The 19,020-nt window shown below is 39.9% G+C and overlaps 1 protein-coding gene across 4 annotated transcripts in view; it reads right to left on the bottom strand.

Moving 5' to 3' along the window:
• Positions 1–19,020, bottom strand: part of HADHB (hydroxyacyl-CoA dehydrogenase trifunctional multienzyme complex subunit beta) — a 45,527-nt gene that overhangs the window by 6,916 nt on the left and 19,591 nt on the right. For 3 of the 4 annotated variants that reach the window (XM_011532803.2, NM_001281513.2, NM_000183.3), the window contains 8 exons: positions 13,553–13,597; positions 9,800–9,899; positions 6,390–6,477; positions 4,749–4,936; positions 4,235–4,415; positions 3,435–3,556; positions 626–705; positions 499–546 (listed from right to left, as the gene is read on the bottom strand). In XM_011532803.2, the coding sequence (XP_011531105.1) occupies positions 499–546; positions 626–705; positions 3,435–3,556; positions 4,235–4,415; positions 4,749–4,936; positions 6,390–6,477; positions 9,800–9,899; positions 13,553–13,597 (852 nt within the window). The remainder of the gene's footprint in view (positions 1–498; positions 547–625; positions 706–3,434; positions 3,557–4,234; positions 4,416–4,748; positions 4,937–6,389; positions 6,478–9,799; positions 9,900–13,552; positions 13,598–19,020) is intronic. The other variant, NM_001281512.2, reaches the window with a different exon arrangement.

The following is a 19,020-nucleotide window of genomic DNA, read 5'->3' as shown; positions in this document are numbered from 1 at the left end:
TATTTTATTTATTTATTTATTTTTTTGAGATGGAGTCTCGCTCTGTCGCCCAGGCTGGAGTGCAGTGGCGTGATCTTGGCTCACTGCAAGCTCTGCCTCTCGGGTTCATGCCATTCTCTTGCCAAAACCTCCCGAGTAGCTGGGACTACAGGCGCCCGCCACCACGCCTGGCTAATTTTTTGTATTTTTAGTAGAGATAGGGCTTCACCGTGTTAGCCAGGATGGTCTCAATCTCCTGACCTCGTGGTCTGCCCACCTCGGCCTCCCAAAGTGCTGGGATTACAGGCGTGAGCCACCGTGCCCGGCCAGATTACTATTATTTTTTTTAAAAAAACCACCACATAAACCAATTATGAACTCAGGGCTTAATATACTCTCAAACCAGTGTAATAAACAAATAAATAATAAACCAGTGTTAATCATTTATTAACCAGTATAATAAAACATAGGCAATCAAATACTTGTGATTATAGTCCAAGGATACAAACTGCTACCTACCCAAGTAATAGTTGATCTTTTGGATCCTGAGACACATACATAAAATCCCTAGGTAAAAAAATAGAGAGGTGAGCTTTGGTAATAAAATAAAGAAATCAGAGATGATTTGTTTGAACATTTACTTTACCTCAAATATGCCTTCGGCTTATAACCCATGGCCAGAGCCTTTTCCTCCGCCATGATTAACATTGCAGATGCACCATCAGTCTGAAATGTTAACCAGCACAATGTTAAAATTCTTCAGCCTGTCTGGAGGTCTTTCTCCAGCCATCTTATATATCTGTACCTGAATCTATTAACTCATTAGACTTATACAGTGATTCTATATAACAACACTTACTTCACTGTATCCATCATTAAATCATAATTCAAACATACACACGCTGACTCATTTTTGGAGGATGAGGGTAGAGAAGGCTGTTCAAAAGTATCATAATAATCAAAATGAATCAACAGAAGAGGTAACTTTAGAAATAAATGCTCATGGCCAAGCGTGGTGGCTCATGCCTGTATGCCTGTAATCCCAGCACTTTGGGAGGCTGAGGCGGGCAGATCATGAGGCAGGTGATTGAGACCATCCTGGCTAACGCGGTGAAACCCCATCTCTACTAAAAATAGAAAAACTTAGCCAGGTGTGGTGGCACACACCTGTAGTCCCAGCTACTTGGGAGGCTGAGGCTGAGGCAGGAGAATTGCTTGAACCTGGGAGGCGGAGGTTGCAGTGAGCTGAGATCGTGCCACTGCATTCCAGCCTGGGTGACAAAGCCAGACTCTGTCTCAAAAAAAAAAAAAAAAAAAAAGAAAGAACTGCTCATAATAAACACTAAACACTTATTTAAGCCAAAGTTTTTAGCTTGTGGCACAAAATATGAACCAAAATAAACATATCTCTTATTTATTTATTTTTACATTTTCTGGGCTCTCAGCTGCTTTCTGCCCGTGGCTTACAGGTCATTTTATTCTACTTATATATTCTGTAACGAGCAAACCAATGGGAGAACCAGCTGAGGACATTAGAACCACAATCTTCCCTCTTTGGATACACCCCATACATTTCTTCCCAAATGACAACCGAGAAGCTGGAGGACAAAGAAGTACTACTGAAAAAACGTCCTTTACCATACTTCAAAGAAGAAAAGCTCCCCCAAAAACTTCAGAATTCCAAAGAAAAGGAAACTATTCTTCATAATTTGTAAAATCAAAATAAGTTCTACCACATTCTGTCGTATTTTTATAACTCGGCAACCCTGAAGAGACTGTGTAGCCACCAATAGGGTGTCCATAAAGTCTGGAGACATAGGTGACCATATGGAATAAATGGTTTACAGACATTACATTAATAACAGGTTCAATGTGCCATTGTGCAAAATTGCAATGAATGTGGGGCACTAATGCAGTCCCCAAAATCCATGTATTGTGATGTGTCACCTCTGATGATTTGTGTCTCTGATTCTCACTAAATAAACCTGGACCTTTAGCATACCCTGGAAATAATCAAAAGGATTCAGATCTGGCAAGTGTAGTCCATGCCACATGGCTCTATCATCCAATTCGGTTTTGCAAATGACCAACCTAACCAGCTCTTCACCACCTGGGCTTAACAGGGTGGTGTTCCATCCTGTTGGAACTACTCCAGATTCCACTCCCCTAGCCTATCAAGAGCAGGCATTAATTAGTCATTTACCATGGGCAAATATGTCAAACATCTGCGTATGTTTTCAAGACTTTATGGCCAGGTAGGAGAGTTACATTGTAAGAGAAACTCTGACCAGATGGCCTATATCCAGAAGACTATACCCAAGGTGGTAAGAGAAGAGAAATCACATCTTACAAGCAGCAGCAGAATCAATAAAGATGTTTAATTGAGGAGTCAGAAAAGCATGGAAGGATATGAAGCTACATGTTGATAAGTTAAAAAAAAAACACAAAACAAACAGTGGTAGATTTGTTCCATGATGCTTACAGGAAAATAATATTGGGGTCAGTGTAAAGCAGTTTTCTAACAATCAGGGCTGGAAGAGGTATCCTGTTACTCTTTCTGCCTGCTTTTCCTTGTCTTCTGCGACTTCCCAGTTCATACCTTATGCTCCAACCTAACTTTTCCCCAAAGAACCCCTTGCTCTCATACTTCCTTGATTTTGCATTTGCTATTCCCTTTGTCCAAAATGCCTTTTTTTTTTTTTTTTTTTTTTTTTTTTGAGATGGGAGTTTCGCTCTTGTGCAGGCTGGAGTGCAATGGTGCGATCTTGGCTCACCGCAACCTCCACGCCTCCAGGGTTCAAGCAATTCTCTTGCCTCAGCCTCCCGAGTAGCCGGGATTAACAGGCATGTGCCACCACATCTGGCTAATTTTGTATTTTTAGTAGAGACGGGGTTTCTCCATGTTGCTCAGGCTGGTCTCGAACTCCTGACCTCAGGTGATCTGCCTGCCTCAACCTCCCAAAGTGCTGGGATTACAGGCGTGAGCCACCGCACCCGGCCTGAAATGCCTTTTAAAATCCTTCCTGAGTTGGCTTTTACTCTTCCTTCAAGATTTGCTGCTCAAGTGTTACCTCTTCCAAGAAGACTCTCTGACTGTCCCCCCATCTGGGTCAGGGGTTCGACCTAAGCCTTACAGCCATCACAGCATCTCACTATATTGCAATTGTCTATTCTTTTCATTTCCAGGGCCCACCATAAGCAATAGAAGTTTTTGACTGGTTAAGTGCCTGAAAGGAAGAGCTTTTGTGGCAGAATGGTGGCTGGATTAGGTGACTTCTCGGGCCTTAAAACCGTGATTCTATTTTTTTTTTAATGACTCCACTTTCACATTAAAATGAATAACTATATTTTTAACCCTCTATTCATAACACACACAAAAAGTTATATTAGGCTTTTCTACAGAGAGTACAGAAATAGAAAAGTCACTACTAAATACAAATAACATTGACAGTTACCAAGAAAGAAGAATTTGCAGCTGTCACTGTGCCGTAGGGCTTGATGAATGCAGGTTTTAGTTTGGCCATCTGCTCCAGTGAGGAAGGACGGATGCCATTATCTTTGGTAACTGTATCTTTTCCTATTAAAAAAATGAATTTTTTTAACTCTATGGAACCACAAGCCTTATATATCTTCTCCACAGAAATATGCTTTAAAAATTACAAAAACAAATGAAATATAAACCTTACCTATTCACTAGAAGGAAAGTGTTTTATAATTATCATATTATCAAATTTTAAACTAAAGTCTTAAAAGACAATTGGGAAATCATCTAAATGCTTTACTAAAAATAGGACACCCTATTTTCTTAAGACATTCATTCACAGTTGGCTATTCTATACAGAAGTCAGACGATTCAGGAATTTTAAAAACAGGCATGTATGTAAGAACTAAAATATATCAGCAAGATCTAAAAGGAGACTCTGTTTTTCTTTTTTTTTTTTTTAATTAGAGATGAAGTCTCACGCTGTTGACCAGGCTGGTCTTGAACTCCTGGCCTCAAGCGATCCTCCTGCCTCAGCCTCCCAAAGTGCTGAGATTAGTGCTCAGATCTTAAAAGGACACTCTTATAGAAACATTAAAAAATGTTAACCTATTGTTACAACATAAATCAAAATTTGCATCCATATTTAAGAATAAAGGCTGAATACTTTGGAAACAGAACCAACATACTTATGGAAAAATCACTCGGGATGTTTTTGAGTTTTAGGAGCAATTCAGAACTCCCTAATAAGTGTCATGAAGCATTTCATTTCACCTGGTACTTTGAAGGGTACCACATCAGAAAGGAGTCCTTCATCCTGTGCCTTCTTGGCTAGACTGTGAGAGCGCAGTGCATATTCATCCTGTTCCAGCCGAGAAACAGCAAAGGCAGCGGCCAGTCGGTCTGCAGAGTGGCCCATGGTCTCACTGGTGGAGAACTCAGAAACCGCAGGGAGCTGGGAAAGGAGATATCCAAGGAGCAGGTACACTGTTAACCGGTGTTATGCTAACACCTAGGATTGTTCTGTGTTATTTGGAAAAGTTAAAATCTATTTGTCTACCATTAATCAATCAAGTCCAAGACAAGCAGAGGATCTCTAAAGAGGATCTCTAAAGAGGGCTCACAAATTAAAGTTTTCTAACCACTATCTTTTTTTTCCATCTTGAGCAAGTAATTAACCCTTTCCTGTAACTACAGAATCTACACCTATTACAGCATAGCAGAGTCCACACTGCCATACCTAATTCTAAATCTCTGCAGTGGGATGCCCTGCAAACACAAGCCTTACCTCAGGTGCTAGGAAATTAAATCGGAATTTAGAGATTAAAGACAGTCGCTGGCCCATAGATTTGGCCTTATTGAGATCAAGCATCAGTTTTCTCATTTTCCTTGAGTGACGAATAGGGACATCGGACATCAACTCAACACCACCTGCCACGATCACATCACACTGGCCAGAAGCAATCAAGCCAACACCTACAGGGCACAGGTTATACTTCATGAATATCTTTTACAGAAAATAACATACCATTCCAATTTAAGCTTCTTGATTAAAAAGCTGAATGACAGTTATCAGCTTTGTACAACATCTGTAATTAAAGTTTTCAACTTTTCAGAAGAATTAAGGTAATTTTCTTAAATGACTAAAAACACATTCAACACGTTAGAGAAAAACAAGTTTCATTCCTGCCATATGGACGTCAACTTCTAGGAATATCCATTGGACCAACTCTTGAACAAATCATATTCCAAACCAGAACATCTTGCATATTTATATGCTCCCAGCTTTAGTTTTAATAAAGATTTTTTATCCTATAAAGAGAATGTTAACTTCTGCTGCAAAGCAGAGAAATTACAGCTGTTGAAACGTAAGGCAGGCCCCCTCTCTCCTTATGGCCACTGGCCAGTATTCTGTTTCTCTAACCAGGAGTTGGTCACATGCTGCCTAGAGTGGCGAACGCCCCCAGTCACGGGCATCATTCCCCGCCACACATGAGGTGGGGTGCCCACCTGGGCCTTGATGTTACTAGATGAGCACATGATTACTAAATCTTTCAGGCTTCCTTGCCTCCTCACACTAAGAGCTGATGCTACAAAATATCCCACAGTTTTGCTAAAGTTTGTTAGTGGGGTTTTCAGTGATTTATAAAAATGACAAGGATGTAAGGAGAAAGTGAAGGAAAGAGCTGTGCCATCTAAAGCAATGATTTACAAGTATGGTAGTGGTGAAGGAAGGAAGACCATATCTTTGTGGGAAAATATCATATCTGAAGCACCTAGGTTGAAAGCCTGGCAGGTTGTAAACTATTTACTCATGCCTCAGATGCTGAAGTACCTTCCTAGAGATACACTCCTCCAGTTGATAATCCCTGCTGCAGCCAGCCACATTATTCACAGAGGAACCACGCCAATGGTAATGTTCCTCAGGTATGGAGAGCAAAAAAAGAGGTTAACTACGGTTAGAACCCCCAAATTTTAAACCTGACCTTACTTTTTAAAAAACACAAGTATAGAGATCTGTGCTAATCTTTTACTTCTGTTAAGAGTACTTTTTGGGATGAGCATGGTGGCTCACGCCTGTAATCCCAGCACTTTGGAGGCTGAGGTAGAAGGATCACTTGAGGCCAGAGGTTTAAGACCAGCCTGGGCAACATGGCGAGATCCCGTCTCCACAAAAAATTTAAAAATTAGCTGGGTGTGGTGGAGCACCTGTAGACCCAGCTACTTGGGATCCTAAGGCAGGATGATCTCTTGAGCTCAAGAGTTTGAGCCTGCAGTGAGCTATGATGGTACCACTGCACTCCAGCCTGAGTGACAGAGTGAGGTTCTGTGTTAAAAAAAAAAAAAAAAAAAAAAGTACATTTTTATAATCAAGTAAAAGACAAAGGAGAATAATTAACATGTACTGTCTGTTTCCATTTAAACATACCTGTGGTCATGGCTTGGTTGGCAGAGATACAAGCCATGGTGACAGTGTGAGCAGGAGTCTTGTCAGAGAAGCCAGCTCCAAGGGCAGCCTTTAGGAAATAGAGTGAATGAAATGATCACTATAAGGGAAGGGCATCATGTAAATGATGCTTTGAGCACTAATCTTCATAGTCATCTGGAAACGGTTTCAGTTTAACATTCTCCAGAGCAATATTTAAAATCAAATGAAGTCCATCACAGAAATGGTTCACTAATATTTAATCTTGCCATTAATTGACAGGTATATGCAAAATTCCTGCTGGCTGGTTTCTAGTGCAGACACGAGGCTATGATACTCTCCTAACTCACCTAATTTCTTATCGATGTTTTGCTCAGGGCCTTCAAGAATATCAATATATAATTTGATTTTAACTTGTTTAATGTTCAAATATACTTAAAAGAACCTATTAAAGACAGTTGCTGGAATGATGATGAAATATATTATGGGGTGGAGTCCTCACTATCTGTGTTATCAGGTCTCATGATCAGTCACAAAGCTTAGCAGCAAAGCAAAAGTGATTAAACATGAAAATGATTTCTAAAGAACTGACCCTTCATAAACAGAGTTCCCACTCAAGACCCTGTCTGCTTTACACCTATCTTTCTGCTCACTGCCAGCTGGTTTCTCTTACTGACCGTCTGATACTTCAGATAGCACACTGCAGACCCAATGCAAAGATGAACTGGAAAACTTGCCAACTATACAGAAGCTCAACTCAATGAAAGAAACTGGAGAATTGCCTGAGTTACAAGTGAGTCTGTGAACAAATAAGGGTCAGACCAACTAACAAGTGGCCAGGATGATGGCATAATACGTGATACAAAGAGAATAATTTGTCATCTGAGCGGCTTTAAGAAAAACTGAGGTCATTATTAATCTTTTAAAAATGGCCTCTATTATAATGGCACAGTGAAAGTCAAACATGAAATGAGCACATCTATAATTTTATTATACTATTTATTGGGGGAAATTATGCTGTCAAAAACCAATCAACGTCTGATTCCATTTTTGTTTATGTAAATAATTAATGCACAGGTGCAATTATAAAATACTTATTTTTATAATATTAAAGTTTTACTTTAGAAATAAAGCTTCCAGATTTCCTCCCACATACACACCCACACAATATTTACTATGAAATACTGGATCCCATTATAGGGAATTCATTTTTAGTATTCTTTCCCTGAAACTATTAATTATCCTCAGAACACACTCTCCTATAATTTAGTAAAATAAATGTTTCCAAAGTCTCAATTAGAAATTCAATGTCTCTTAACTGATTTTTACCTTTATACTTACTTACTTTTATGCTATTTACCATAATCTATAGAAACAGAAATGTGTTAGTGATGTAACTGCAACATGACCTCATTCTGGTCTTTCCAGGTAGGCCTGATACTAAATGCCCAACCTGCTTTGTTGAGAACTTCTGCCAGGCACCTGTGCATCAGCCTCTCAACGTAAACCAATCCGAAAGGAAGAGAGACGCAAGTATCTCAGGGGGGCAGGAGGGAAGAGCTCTGCAAAGGGCAAGTGTAAAAGGGGCACTTAGGTTGCAATGGCTCGATTCTCACAAGGGCCTTTCTAATTTGTGTTGCCCTTGGCCCTAGATGACTCTCAGGACGGAAGGAGCTTTAAATAGAGGTGGCTATTGGTGACCCTTGTCCACACACTTCTATTGAAATTTGAATAGCTCTCAGGGCACTAAGGGAAAAGGAGGAAGATGTCTTTAAGCTGGAGAACAGGGAAATATGCTGAACCTTTCAACAAAGTCAGGTTCATGAACACCAGGAGCCTTTTAGGACTGTATATTAACATTATTAATACAGGCAATAGGGCCTAAGAAACTCTTTGGCTGAAAATTATGTTAGCTTTTAGGTTGCAAGGACTGTATATTAACATTATTAATACAGGCAATAGGGCCTAAGAAATTCTTTGGCTGGAAATTATGTTAGCTTTTAGGTTGCAATACAGCTTTAGAGTGACATTCTCATAATGTATCCCCCTCAACCCAATCTCTCCCTGCAGATGCTGCAAAAATTACCTGGAGCACAACATAACTGGTATTAGTACAGGGCAGGCAGAGGGAATCTACCTCCTGTCAATCAATAGCTGAGATCTGCAAATGGATGTAAAATTTCCAGGAAAAATTTCAGAGGAAAACATTATGGCTTTAGTTTTAGGAAAAAAAGAACTGAATTACAGAGAAAATGGAAACATTTATTTTTATTTATTTATTTTTTTATTTTTTGAGGAGGAGGAGAAGGAAGAAAGGATGGGATAAAAAGCTGAGCAAGAGGAGAAAACAGCAAAAAAATTTACTATTTACATCTTAAGTGCTCTTATAAAAGTAATAGGTTATTTTCAGAATATAAAAGTTGAAAATGTATTATGAGCAGCTTGATGTACTCATGAAATTATCATATTTGAAACATTCAGAAATGTCAAGGTTCAAGGAAAAACAAAAAATTTCAGAAGGGAAATAAAATCTCTTCCTATTGTTAATTCCTTCCTGCCCCTCAACAGCACACAGTTAGTTTCGTAGGCTTCAGTCATGCCAGGCCTTTGGCAGTTCTAACATTTCTGCCAGGTACAGAGGTGGAACAGAACAAATACTTTCAGTCCTGCTCATGTGCCCTTGTCTCTCAGTTGACAGTGATACTGAACCCAACAATATGGCAAGCACAGACCAGAACTAGGGAAAATACTGAGTACAATGAAATGTGCTTTTGGTGCCAACTTCATCCAATCGATTTTAAATGAAAACACAGCCCAGAAGACGTGTTTGGATTTGCCTGTAGGACACATCCTAGAAGTTCCAAGGCCTGTCATTATCTTGGTTGCCCAATCGACACTACATGGAGCTATGCCAACTAGGGCAAAAGTAAACTCCTGTGAAATAGTTTTTAAAAAGCCAAGCTGCCTTACGTGCCATCTAGTTGATGGGAACAAATGAGTAAGCAAGGCTACTTCCAGCTAACAAAAGTCAAGTTATGAAATTAGTTCTCTGCAACATGTTGAAATTTTAAATTAATTGGAAGCCATGATATCTAACATTACTAAAAATACTATCAGCCACACTTTGCTGATCTCTATTTTCCTAACACAAGAGACAATGTCCTAAACCAGCTCAAATAATTTATTTGATTTACAGTAAAGTATGGATATACACTAATATAGTGTATGTCATTTGATTTATATTAGAATTCTTTTACATATTAAATAACACATTACCCAAGCTGTAAAATCACATTTTAGGTCAAATGTAACTCAATAGATTTTAAAGGCTTTTGTAAAGTAACTTCTATTAATTGAAATTCAAAGTGATTCTCCTATCACTCTTTAAACAACATAAAGTTTGTTTTACTCACCTCTCTAGCCACATTGCTTGTTTTCACTTCCTGAATAACTGTACCAAAGATGATATAATCAACTACTTCCTTAGGGACACTGGTCCGATGCAACAAACCCCTGGAAGTAGAAATCCAAAGCAAAGAAACATTTCACACATCAAGGCAGTGCCAGAGATCATCACACAAAACACTGCGCTCCTTGAAAAAGGTTAGCCTTGAATTTAAAAGGACAGAGACTGTATCTTTTCTTTAATTTGACAAGCATTTGGCACCTTCTCAAAGAAGAAATGAATGAAAGAGTGATTTTAAAAGTCAACATTTGATGCTGAATTGGTAATGAGAAGTTAGAGAATAAAAAATAATTTGGAATAGAATAAAATAGATAAGAAACCTATAAATTAATGTTAATTAATGTTAGTAGAAACCAAAGTTTGCAGTGAAAAAGAGAGACAAATATTCAATCAAAGAGATAAAGCAAAGTCTCCCTTAAGACTATTAAAAAAAATTAAAAAAAAAGAAGTCCTGGGTATGTTAAATTTTAGTTTGAAATATCAGTATCAACAAATGATTGAAATAATACATATATTCTAGTTGTGCCCATGAATAGAAACTAGACACAATAACACTCCAGTAGGAATGAGCACTCCCTGAACCCAGACTTGGTTTCCTTTTTTTTTTTTTGAGATAAGAATCTTGCCCTTTCACCCAGGCTGGATGGAGTGTACTGGCACAATCTCGGCTCACTGCAACCTCCACCTCCTGGGTTTAAGTGGTTCTCTCACCTCAGCCTCCTGAGTAGCTGGGGCTACAAGCGCCTGCCATGATGCCTGGCTTATTTTTGTATTTTTAGTAGAAACAGGGTTCACCATGTTAGCCAGGCTGGTCTCGGACTCCTGACTGCAAGTGATCCACCAGCCTTGGCCTCCCAAAGTGCTGGGATTATAGGTGTAAGCCACTATACCCGGCCCCAGATTTGGTTTCTAAATGCCATTCCCCATTAAAAGGACAAAAGGTTTTTTAAGAAATGACTGATACCAGGTCCAGAAGAAAGTACAAAGTGAATTTCCATCTTTTTTGTGCCAAAAGTAAGGAAGCACTCAAAGACAAATGGGACCATATCAGCCGGGCACAGTGGTTTAAGCCTGTAATCCTAGCACTTTGGGAGGCCGAGGCAGGCGGATCACTTGAGGACAGGAGTTCGAGACCAGCCTGGCTAACACAGCAAAACCCCGTCTCTACTAAAAATACAAAAAAAATTAGCCAAGACTGGTGGCATGTGCCTGTAATTCCAGCTACTCGGAAGGCTGAGGCAGGAGAATTGCTTGAACCTGGGAGGCGGAGGCTGCAGTGAGCCGAGATCGTGCCACTGCACTCCAATTTGCGCAACAAGAGCGAAACTCTGTGTCAAAAAAAAAAAAAAAAGACAAATGGGACCATATCAAAAACAGGAACACGGGGTATATACATTTGTCAAAACTCATCAAACTATACACTTAAAATCTGTGCACTTTATTGCATGCAAATTATATATCAACAACCAGCATTATACTAAAAAACAAAAGGCACACAGGAGCCAACTTGAAGGAGTGCCAGATAAAATGTGGAATAAGCTGAGCTTCAAAATGAGTAATGACTAAACTTGGCTACAATGAAATAAATAAATAAAAATCTGTAAAATCTGTAGTTTTTTATCAATTAAAAAAACTAAAAAGAGGGTTAGAAACATTGGCTTACGCCTATAGTCCCAGTTACCTGGGAGGCTTCGAGGTTGCAGTGAGCTATGATCAAGCAACTGCACTCCAGCCTTGGACAGAGTGAGACTCCATACAGAAAAAAATAAATTAAAAATTTAAAAAAAATTTTTTTTTTGAGACAAAGTCTTGCTCGATTGCCCTGCCTGGAGTCTAGTAGTGGAATCATAGCTCACTGCAACCTTCAACTCCTGAGCTGAATTCTCTTGGTTGGCTAATTTTTAAAATTTTTTTTTGTAGAGATGGAGTCTTACTATGTTGCTTAGGCTGGTCTCAAACTCCTGGGCTCAAAAGATCCTCCTACCTTGATCCTCCTGCCTTGGTTTCCTAAAGTGCTGGGATTATAGGTGTAAGACACCATGCCTAGCTAGTAGATGAGATTTTTAAAGGAAAATATGCATACAGAGAAATGCAAAGCTCTAAGGAATGAAACTTGCAAAACACCTTTCAAAAAGAGAAAGAGGGAGAGATCCAGTTGTGTGTGTGTGTGGTTTTTTATTTTTATTTTTTGAGACGGAGTTTTGCTCTTGTTGCCCAGGCTGGAGTGCAATGGCGTGATCTCGGCTCACTGCAACCTCTGCCTCCCAGGTTCAAGGGATTCTCCTGCCTCAGCCTTCCAAGTAGCTGGCATTACAGGCATGTGCTACTACGCCCAGCTAATTTTGTATTTTTAGTAGAGATGGGGTTTCTCCATGTTGGTCAGGCTGGTCTTGAACTCCCGACCTCAGGTGATCTGCCCACCTCAGCCTCCCAAAGTGCTGGGATTACAGGAGTGAGCCACCGTGCTTGGCCCAGTTTTTTTTTTTTAAGCTAGAGAAGAATCGGCCGGGCGCAGTGGCTCACACCTGTAAGCCCAGCACTTTGGGAGGCCGAGGAGGGCGGATCACGAGGTCAGGAGATCGACACCATCCTGGCTAACACAGTGAAACCCCGTCTCTACTAAAAATACAAAAAAAAAAAAGAAAAAAAAAATTAGCCGGGCATGGTGGCAGGCGCCTGTAGTCCCAGGTACTCGGGAGGCTGAGGCAGGAGAATGGCGTGAACCCGGCAGGCAGAGCTTGCAGTGAGCCGAAATCACGCCACTGCACTCCAGCCTGGGTGACAGAGCGAGACTCCGTCTCAAAAAAAAAAAAAAAAAAGCTACAGAAGAATCAGTCAGGATACAGAAGAAAAAGAAAAATCATAAAGGCATATTACTAAGAAGTCAACAGAAGAGAGGTGATTATAGCTTACAGTGTCAAGTGCTATAAAGTACAGAGACAGAGGACTGAGAAAGGATCAGTACATTGAGCAATCATAAAACCATTATTAAGAGAAGATTCTAAAGTATGGTTTCTGTAAAACAAAGGGAAAATGGAAATAATGATTATACAATTAGACAGAGGAAACTAATAATAAGGAAACAGAAACAACTGCTCTTTCACTCATGCTTGAGGTATTGCAGGAAGAAAAAAAAAACAAACATAGAGTTAGAATGGACAGAAAGGTCAACTGAAGGGTTTCTCCAAACTAAGAAAGAACTGTGGCTGGTTGAAGACACAAAGGCAAAGTGTCAGTGGAAAATGAAGAGATAATGCCTTACATGTTATGAAACAGCAACACATTTAATGATTCTCAACCAAATTATTCATCCAGCCTAATCTTATTTAACTACATCTAATTTTACATTTTTACTTGGTTTGCACATGAATCTTCAGGTGTCTTTTAGGCTTCTTTCTAGGTAAATATCTACATAATCTGTTCAGCTACCCTTATACAAGTTCCTAAGGCAATCATCAAATATATGTATTGTGTTTAGGCTGATCAATCGAGTCCTGTGGCTAGCTAAGGTAGCATTAAAGTATACTGTCAGGCTAAGACACTGTTAGGCCTGCAAAATAAAGATTGACAATATTCATAAGCTGCTTAAATTTGTATAGTACAGATGGCTAAAATAAGAACAAATTGCTATTTTATGTGTAAAAACTGGAGAAAGTGCCTTTAATGAAATAAGAACGGAAATGAAACTGCATTTACTTACGTAAGCGCTGCTCTAGCCAAATCATGTGGCATCAGGTCTTTATATCTGGGGAACGAAAACCAGTAATTTAAACCAAAACCCTAGAGCTTCAATGAAAAATTTTCATTCTATTTGAAATACCCAGAGATCATCAAACACATGCTGCTACAAACACACTTAACTTTACTATCCAAGGCAGTCCATCATTTCAAATGAAGAAATAGTGTGACTTCGCTATTTGTCATCCTTAAAAGTCTAGCAAGCCTTAACTCCTCCTGAGCTTGCTAAGAATCGAACAAAAATGTTGTCCAACACCTTAATGTTCAGTATAACATATGCTAAATTTTCTTTAAAGTGAAGCCCCACCTTTGAGGTCTCTTTTCCTTTAAACATTTTATTTTAAAAGTATATTATTTATTTATTTTGTAATGCCTACAGGGCTACAGGTGATGTATTAGGACTTTTGAAGAAACTTTTTGCTTTTAAGTAACTTGAGATTTACCAAAGAATTGGAAAGAGGCCAAGCATGGTGGCTCACACCTAGAATCCCAACATTTTGGGAGGCTGAGGTGATATGACTACTTGAGGCCAGGAGTTCAAGACCAGCCTGGGTAACAGAGCAAGCAAGACCTTGTCTCTTACAAAAAATATTAAAAATTAGCCAGGCGTGGTGGCATGGATCTGTAGTCCTAGCTACTTGGGAGGCTGAGGTGAGAAGACTGCTTAAGGCCATGAATTTGAGGCTGCTAGGATCACACCACTGCACTCCAGTCTGGGCAGCAGAGCAAGACCCTGTGTAAATACATAAATAAGAATTGGAAAAAGAGAGCAGAGTTCCTCTTTCCCCCTGCTGTTTTTTTTTTTTTTTTAAGACGGAGGTTCGCTCTTGTTGCCCAGGCTGAAGTGCAATGGCGCAATCTCAGCTCACTGCAACCTCCACCTCCAGGGTTCAAGCAATTCTCCTGCCTCAGCTTCCCGAATAGCTGGGATTACGGGCACCCACCACCACGCCCAGCTGATTTTTTTGTATTTTTAGTAGAGATGGGATTTCACCATGTTGGCCACGCTGGTCCTGAACTCCTGACCTCAGGTGATTTGCCCGCCTTGGCCTCCCAAAGTGCTGGGATTACAGACGTGAGTCACCGCGCCCAGCCTTCCCCTGCTTTTTCTAATACTGACATCTTACATAACCATGATATACTTATTAAAACTAAGAAATGAACATTGGCACAATACTATTCACTAAGCTACTACCTATCTGAGTCTCACCAGTTGTTCCACTAATGTCCTTTTTCTGTTCCAAGATTCAATCCAAGATACCATGTTGCATTTAGTTGTCATGCCTCCTCAGTCTCCTCCAATTTGTGACAGTTTCTCAGTCTTCCTTGTCTTTCATGACCTTGACACTTTTGAAGACTGGGGTTATGGATTTAGGGGAAGAATATCACAGAGGTAAACTGTATTTCTCTTAGCTTCGTATCAGGGGGCACATGATATCAACATGACTTACTACCAGTGATGTTAAAGTGATGATTTGGGTCAAGTGATGTCTGCCAGTTTACTCCACTATAAAGTTACTATTTTTTCCTTTCTTATCTCAATTTGTTAGAAGTGAGTCACTAAGTCTAGCCCACATTCTGAGGGGAGAATTAAGTTCCACCTTCCAGTGGCAGGAATAACACAGACTTTGCGGACGTATGTCGAAATCATCATAGTAATTGATAAATATTTTGGGGGAGATTCTCTGAGACTATGCAAATATTCTGTTTCTTCTTAGCATTTCACCTAATTTTAGCATTCATTTGTAGATCTCGCAGCAAGTATTATGTGGTATTCTAATGGTTATTTTTCTCATTCTTTATTTATTTTTATTTTTTGAGATAGGGTCTCACTCTGTCACTCAGACTGGAATGCAGTGGTGCAATCACAGGTCACTGCAGCCTCAAACTCATGGGCTCAAGCAATCTTCCCACTTCGGCCTCCCTTGTAGGTAGGACTACCGGTGTCTGCTACCACACCCAGCTAATTTTTCATTTTTAGTTTTTGCAGAGATGGAGTCTCACTTTGTCCATGCCGGTCTCGAACTCCTGGCCTCAAGCAATCCTCCTACCTCAGCCTCCCAAAGTGCTGGGATTACATGTGTGAACCACTGTACACAGTCCTCCTATATTTATTAATCAAAATTCTTCTGTAAGGAAGACTTGTTCATTCTTTCTCATTTATTTACTCTTTTTTTTTTTTTTTTTTGAGACAGAGTCTCACTCTGTTGCCCAGGCTGGAGTGCAGTGGCACGATGTCGGCTCACCGCAACCTCTGCCTCCCGGGTTCAATCGATTCTCCTGCCTCAGCCTCCTGAGTAGCTGGGATTATAGGCGCCTGCCACCAAATCCAGCTAATTTTTGTATTTTTAGTAGAGAAGGGGTTTCACCATGTTGGCCAGGCTGGTCTCGAACTCCTGACCTCAAGCGATCCATTCACCTTGGCCTCCCAATGTGTATTTATTTATTCACTTATTTATATCAGATTAGACTCGTAGGCATTTGTTTTATTCTTTGGGTTATGTTCCAATACTATTGCAATTTATTTTATTGCTCAAATCATTGCAGTTTTGGTGACCGGTAGCTCCTGCAGGTCAGACCTGTGTCTTTTTGACATGACCCCCTGAACCCCTCTTTTTTTTAAGTACTTCTTTGCTTTCCGGCACTACAAGTTCTCCTTGCTCATCCTGTCTTTTCTCTGGCTCAGCCCTAATCATTCTTCAAAGGAGCTCTGGTTCTTTGTATTGAAGACTGCTATTTAGAAACCAAGATCTGGGTATGAACTCTATTTATTTGTTTGTTTGTTTAAAGATCAAAAATAAATTCTCTTTATTTTTAAGTCAGAGATTTAATCATTGGATTAAATAAGAAGATTCATTCTTCAAGTCCCTGAAAATTAAAACTTAAAAACTCCAAAATATTTTTACTGTCATTTTCACTCAGAATCACAGGAGAACCATGAGTAGTTTTCCAAATTTTTCATAGGTAAATCCAGTTTCCTCAAATTTAGGACAGAATTATTTGGGGAAAAGTCATGTGTCAATTTGAAAATGCCTAAGCCATAAATTATTTATCATTTACAATCCTTTTTTTTTTTTTTTTTTTTTTTGAGAGAGAGTGTCTCACTCCATCACCAAGGCTGGAGGGCTGGAGTGCAGTGGTGCAACGTGCTTCCTGGGCTCAAGATAGTCTCCCACCTCAGCCTCCCAAGTAGCTGGGATTACAGGTGCACGCCACCATGCCTGGCTAATTTTTGTATTTTTAGTAGAGATAGGGTCTCGCCATGTTGGCCAGGCTGGTCTCAAACACCTGACCTCAGGTGATCCGCCCGCCTCAGCCTCCCAAAGTGCTGGGATTACAGACGTGAGCCACTGCGCCCAGCCAACTTATCATTTACAATCTTTATTCTCATACTCTCACACTCCTCTACCTGAATGATTGACAGACTTCTGAATTCCACTGCTAGAGTCTATTCCCGGGAGTGCTTCCCAAATGCCCCTACCCATAAGAACCTGGCCTTCCAAATAACACTCAAGTTGAAAGCAACGTTTCTGCAAATTAAACAGAAAAAGACTTTTTCCACTTAGAAAATGATCTTCTATTACAGAAGACTCATTTGGTACTTCAATCCTAACATCAATAATGTAAAAATTGTTGTCCTTATACATTTTCCCTCTATGTTATTATTATTAATTTTTTTTTAAGAGACAAGGTCTGGCTCTGTCACCCAGGTTGAAGTGCAATAGCATAGCTCATATACGTTCATAGCCCACTGCAGCCTCAAACTCCTAGGCTTAAGCAATCCTCCCGCCCCAGCCTCCCAAGTAGCTAGGACTAGGGGCATGCACCACCATGCCTGGCTAATTAAAACACCTTTTTTTTTTTCTTTTTTTTGTAGAGATAGGACTGGGAGGTAGGGGGTGAGGAGGCGTTGGGGATAGGTGTCTAGTTATGTTGCTCATATGTTGCTCAAGCCAGTCTCAAACTCCTGGCCTTGAATGATCCTCCCGCCTCCGCCTCCCAAAGCGCTGGAATTATAGGTGTGAGCCACTGCACCTGGCCTCTAATGTTATTTTTTAGTGACTTTTGTTCTTTACATGAATATTGCCTTAAAATACTTTTGATTCTTTCTTCCCTATTCACTATCATTTCTTACATTACTCAATGTTTTTCTCTTCTCTGTACCACTAGATTGCTCATGAACCAGAATCCTGAATTAAACTAAAACACAATACACAACAAAGAAAGGAACAACCCTATGCCAATTTGGTAAATACCTCAAATTAAACTTCATGCAAATACTAATCATCAAATGTTTAATAAAAGTAAATGAAACAGTTGAGTATGTTTGGGTGTTTTGTTGTTGTTGTTGTTGTTGTTGTTTTGAGATGGAGTTTTGCTCTGTCACCCAGGCTGGAGTACAGTGGCACAATCTCAGCTCATCACAACCTCCACCTCCCAGGTTCAAGTGATTCTCCTGCCTCAGCCTCCCAAGTAGCTGGGACTACAGGCATGCACCACCACACCTAGCTAATTTTTGTATTTTTAGTAGAGATGGGGTTTTGCCATATTGGCCGGGCTGGTCTCAAACTCCTAACCTCAGGTGATCCACCTGCCTTGGCCTCCCAAAGTGTTGGGATTACAGGTGTGAGCCACTGAACCTGGCCTGTTTGTATTTTTTAACAGCTAGTAAAACAGTATCAAACACCTACATAATATATAATGATCCTTACAAAAAAAGTCTTCCTAGCCAAGAACTTTCATGTCTTGATGGAACTTTTTCTATTTTATTGCTGCTGAGTAAAAGGAGGACATCATCTTCTTCCTGCTGCTAAAGCCTTCTGATTCTTACTTTTACTGTTGTGTCAGTACAGGAAAGAGATTATAGAAACATCGTTAAGTGGATTACTATATTGATAAAATAGGATGAATAAAGAAACGTCACTACCATTTACTTATAGCATTACTTCTTCTTCTTTTTTTTTTTTTTTGAAACAGGGTCTCGCTGTGTTGCCCAGGCTGGAGTACAGTGGCATGATCTTGGCTCACTGCAACCTCCACCTCTTGGGTTCATGAGATTCTCATGCCTTAGTGTCTCGAGTAGCTGGGACTAGAGGTGCATACCACTACACCCAGCTAATTTTTGTATTTAGTAGAGACAGGGTTTTGCCATGAACTCCTGGCCTCAAGTGATCCACCCACCTTAGCCTTCCAAAGTGCTGGGATTACAGGCATGAGCCACGTGCCTGGCCAACATATAGCATTACTTCTGTAAGAAAATATATTTGTAGGTCCCAAACCATCTGTTTAAAAATGAACCTTTGTTGTGTGTGTATACACACATACACACACACATGTGTATCTTTCATAAGTCATTGCACACTATACACAATACTGTGCACCTTGCTTTTTTTTTTTTTTTTTTTTGAGATGGAGTCTTGCTCTGTCACC

Source organism: Homo sapiens, chromosome 2 (assembly GCF_000001405.40).
Source record: "Homo sapiens chromosome 2, GRCh38.p14 Primary Assembly".
In the NCBI taxonomy this organism is placed as follows: Eukaryota; Metazoa; Chordata; class Mammalia; order Primates; family Hominidae; genus Homo; species Homo sapiens.
This window is presented reverse-complemented; position numbering and strand designations above follow the sequence as displayed.